Source organism: Homo sapiens, chromosome 11 (assembly GCF_000001405.40).
Source record: "Homo sapiens chromosome 11, GRCh38.p14 Primary Assembly".
Lineage (NCBI taxonomy): Eukaryota > Metazoa > Chordata > Mammalia > Primates > Hominidae > Homo > Homo sapiens.
Genome location: NC_000011.10, coordinates 97855652 through 97860963, shown reverse-complemented (window position 1 = coordinate 97860963; position 5312 = coordinate 97855652). Strand labels below are relative to the sequence as shown.

At 34.4% G+C, this 5312-nt stretch overlaps 1 annotated feature.

Annotated features, from left to right (window-relative positions):
- Window positions 3571-4455: an enhancer, noted in NCBI's record as "OCT4-NANOG hESC enhancer chr11:97727509-97728393 (GRCh37/hg19 assembly coordinates)". NCBI's record gives its function as "activates a minimal SCP1, AML or CMV promoter by ChIP-STARR-seq in naive and primed H9 embryonic stem cells {active_cell/tissue: H9 hESC(naive and primed)}" and the evidence as "EXISTENCE:reporter gene assay evidence [ECO:0000049][PMID:30033119]".

Genomic DNA, 5312 nt, shown 5'->3' with positions numbered 1-5312 from the left:
GTGAGAATTAAATGAGATAATCTAAGTTAAATGCTAAACAGTTTTCTTTTATGCCCCTTATTTTTGCCCTTTATTCTACTTTCCTGGAAGATTCAAATTCACTTCTGTTGGGAGCTATTACCACTGGAGAGGCAACAGAGAATAATGACTAAAAGCATGAACCTTGGAGAAGATGAGCCAGGGCTTAAATAAAGGCTTTGCTGCTTCCTTGGTTTGTGATCAAGATTAGATTACTGAATATCAGAGTTGCTGTGGGAATTTGATAAAAATAATGATTATAATCTATTCAGCTTCATGCTTGGCACACAGTATTCAATATTTAGTAAATATTATGAGCATATTCCAAGCCTTTGGTTTGTAGTTAGTGATATCTTATGATTCATCATATAATTATATAGAGCTGTGGTCACTCCTTTGCATTAACTTTATTTTTTATATCCTCCCTCCATTTCTGGCTCACTTAAGTCAGGTTTTTCAAAATCTCCTGAGAGCAGTCATTCCTCTTCCTATGTGTCTGCCTTGGTTTTACAACACGTCACATATAAACCACAGGTTCTCAGCTTTCAAGCTTCTATCTATTCATATCTGCCTCTTTGCCTCCAGAATCTCATAATTTCCTGGCTTGATCTCATTTAACAAGTAAGCATATCTTCTTATAGATTTGTTTTCTCTTGGTTTCTTCTTTCCATATTTACTATTGTACTTGTGAATGGCCTTCATATCTCAGGTTTAAATACCCAAGATGGAAAAAAAAAGTAATCAAATCTTTTGAAAGCATTTTTTTTTAATGTCAGCAATATTGTATAAACAGTTCTGTACCCAATAAGCACATAAAGCACGTGCTTTTGGCATATCCAGAAAGGGACATTACATTTTTAAAAATCAGAATTGATAAATGTATACAGAAATACACAATTGCAAAATTCATAAAGTATTTTAAATTTTGGTACACGTGCAATTTTTGTTTTAACTTTACATATGGTTGTTTTGAGTTAAAGTGGAAGAAAAGGGATGATGAAATTTCTCCAATGCCTAGCTTTTTCTAAAAATCCTGGTGTAGCACTGGGTGCAAATTATATATTAGAATGTAAGAAAAACTAACGTTGTTTTCATGCCTCTGTTTTGGGTTGTTGTTTCTCCGTTGCAAAAGTTGGGGTTATATTCCACAATGAGTAAACTCCCTACAAGCATGTTCTACTTTCAGCTTTAGTCTTTCACTTCTTGCCAGTCTTATAAATAACTTTAGGTAGTCTTTCCCTTTTTCAAAACTATCTTTCTGTAATCATCAGAGTAATCTATCTACACTACAAGTCCAACATCTGTTCATGAGAAGTCCCCCCTCTTAACTACTCTTTGATAGTTCTCATTACTCATAAACTTCTCTCTGAAATGGCTAGGCTTCACCTGAAGAGCCTGATACAGTCTATAGCCCTGATACCCAGATTTTCTTATCCTGTAGGTCTAGGGGAGTGGCTCAAGAATCTATATTTTAATAAGACCCTAAGGTGACACTAATGCAAGTAATCAATAGATACACAAAGAAAAACTGTATAAAATCAGTGCCTTCCATGGCCTGCTTCTTCCTGACCTCTTTTTGCTGCTCTTCTGCATTCCACATTAGTTCTCAGATTAAACCCACTGAGAATTCCTTGCACATCCCACTCCAAGTCAAGCCTCCTTGATTTTACTGATATGATTTCTGCTATGTTCATCTTCTCTACTCCTCTTCCACTGTTTAATTTGTATTCATATTCTCCCTTTTATACGTATTGCCAAATATAAAACATATGGGTAATTTATATGACCACTCTTCCTGCTGCTATCTCCTGTGGGTTAGGAAACTATCTTCTTTGTTTTCTTCATTATAACTTTGTAACTTTTACCATTTGATATTGCAAATATCTGTTAAATTTTCTATCTCATCCACAAGACCTTTAGCTTATTGAAAATAATTACCATTTTTGGTTGTTTGTATGTCTACTGCCTAATATAACATATTTTAGTAGTAGGCACACAATGTGTGTTTGCTGAAATTGCTGTTTACAAATTTAATAATAATATAGACTATCATATATAGACATGTATTTCTGTATTTCTAAAGAATATCTTTGGGGCTGGGCATGGTTGTTCATTTTTGTGATCCCAGCACTTTGGGAGGACTAGGATTACATGACAAGCCTAGGAATTCAAGACAAGCCTAGGTAATTTAGTGAGACCCTGTCTCTACAAAAAATAAAAAAGCTAGCCAGGCATGGTAGTGCATGCCTGTGTTTCCAACTACTTGGAAGGCTGAGGTGGGAGAATTGCTTGAGGCCAGGAGTTCAAGGCTGCAGTGAGCTGTTATCATGCCATTGTACTCCAGCCTGGGTGACAGAACAAGACCTTGTATCTAAATTAAAAAAAAAATCATCAAATATATAATATAGTATTAAATATAATAATAAAACTCTCTTAATTCACTACAAAATAACAATGGTTCTATGAGATGAGTTATTTTTTTCTTTTTTTTTTTTAAGAGACAGGATCTCACTCTGTTGCCCCTGCTAGAGTGCAGTGACATGATCATAGATCACTGCAGCCTTGAACTCCTGGGCTCAGGTGATTGTCCTAATGTTACTCTTCCAACATTCTGGGATTACAGCGGTAAACCACCAGGCCTGGTGTAAGATTTTGTATTTTGTAAACATACTTTTAAGTTTACTCAAAAGTAGGGACTTATGGAGTGAAAGTTGGCAGCAATTTAATAGAAAAAATAGCCAAAACTTGCAGCTTGTGGCATGAAGGTAGAGAAGAAACCTTGTTGAACATACATAGAGAATTTAGGTGACTAGACTATTTTGACTTCCACTGGAACTGGGTCAAAGTTAAAGCTCACCATCCTGCTCTCTAGCAAAATGTGCCCTGGGTTGCTTAATGACCACAAATGGTCAGGACCTCAATTTTTTGTCTCATCCAATGAGTCCTCTTGTCTCTCAAGACACTAAAATGAGACTGAGTCATAAGGAAATCAATAGTGTTATATTCAAACAAGGCTATTTAGACCAAACACATTCCATTTTCTCATTAGCCATGGAGCCAAAGCGGGTGGGGTAGAAATTGCATTCATCTGAAATTGCACACAGATGGAACTGTTGCTTCCCGCTGCCTGGTGAAGGCTCCAAAGTGCACACAATCAAATGTATTTTATTAAAACTAACTTTAAAAATGCATGTTGTTTCCTTCCATTTATTCAATAATTGATTAATTGGAGCCTGCTTTACTTCTCCCAGTGACATTTCCATTTCATTTTGTCTTTACATTTTAAAAGTTGGATTGGCTTTGGGAATTACATTTTAGCATATTTTTTAAAAGTTAGAGTTAAGTTTTGAAAAGACAATATGTCAATTTTCTAAAGTCATTAATTGGGGTACATGAACTTATTAATTCTCATGTTTTATGCTTGCCTAAACAAAGCAGAAGTTATATAAATGAAAAGGTAAGAGGGCTGTTTCTATTCCTTCCAGGCACTTTAGGAATTTGTCCATCCACTAGTTCAGTTCTAGGTACTAGAAGTATAATGTATGTCATATAATTTTTAAGTTTTTAGTAGCCACATTAAAAAAATAAAATAGTTGAAATTAATTTTAATACTATCTTTTATTTTACCTAGTATATCCAAAATATTATTTCAACATGCAATCAATATAAAAGTTATCAATGAGATATTTCACATTATTTTCTTAGTAATATGTCTTTGAAATATGGTGTATATTTTACATTTACAGTACATTTAAATTATTTGGGCTAGGTTTATTTTATGTGTTCAATAGCCATGTATGACAAATGGCTACCATAATGGACAACACAGTTCTACATGATGGAACTATAGCACCGCATGAATACTAAATCCCTTTGAAATTTGCCCCATTGCATTTTATCATGGTTCAAATTTTAAAATCTCTTGAACATTTCTTTTTCCCACTCTGACCATCCTCCCCCCCACCATGAAAAAGTAGTAGTTATTTTACTTCAATGTGTCTGTGATTATACTGGATGTGATAGGTTTATGATCAGTGCTCAGAGAGCAATTAGCATTTGAATTAAGCCACATGAAGGTAACAACAGGCGATTACCCATTTTAACAGCTGCTAAGTGGTGTTAATTGCTGGCTGTAGACCACAAGCTGAGCAATTTTCTGTGTATTGTACAAACAGAGCAAAACAAAGAAGTTAAAAGGAAAAGTATTATCCTCATTACAATTTACTACAGTATTTGAAGACATAATGTACCCTTATAGCCTGTGCCATTTATGCAATCGACCATGAACAGGTGATATTTATGGGATAAATGGTATACATGTATGATTACTAATTTTTATTTTCAAATCAATGTTAAAAACAATTATACGTATCTACAAAAGGTAGAAATGTTCTAAACATTGTATAAGTTTATGAAATTGTCAGTAGATGGGGTAAGTTATTGATATTTAAATTAATTAGGAAGAGATATGGTTAAAGGTTGGAGGAGACTGGAAAATATACAGCAGAGTTAAACTAGATCTGTGAAAAACTGTCAAAAAGAAGTGGAAGTTATGAGATCATTGGACTGTGCTGAGCTAAGATGTATCAATATTTATTGACATTTCAGTTTTGTTATAGTTCCTGAAATGATGGCTAGAAAAAAATGTAATTGGTTTCTATTTACAGTCAATAAGATGGTGAAACTGATCACATAGAGAAATTAAGTGTTCAGCTATTTAAAATGGTTATGTGGAATAGAATATGTCAGGGCCTAGCTTAGTATATATATTACTGCATTTATTTCAGCAGAAGCTTCCCACATACAGAATTTCCTTGATATCTCATCCTAAGCAACTATCTGTTGATTGTTTTGAAAAGGGCTAAGCACATACCTAAACTTGCCACCTGATTCCTGTTGGAATTTTATATTTTTCTACCAGGTCATTTCACAGCTCTAACCAGGTTATTAACTTTTAACCTGGATGGCCTTAATATTCCCCTCAACCTGAATAAACAACAGGTATGTTCCTTCCCAACTATTGGCACCTAATCTCTCTTTTCTTAGAGCATTTACTTTAGAAAACTTGCAATTTAAGTTATTTCTCTACCCCTTTGAGATGTAAATCTTCTCCCAACCTCTTGCCAGTTTTACAACACAGAAATTTCTTTCTCAAGAACCTGGGAGCAATTTATTTGAAATGTAATAATCAAGAAAGAGAGGGTCCCTGTATACCAGTCTCTGTGAGCAGATAGAAGCCTTTGTTAAATGTCAAGTAGAAAATACACGTGGGCTAATTACATGTACCAGCCTCT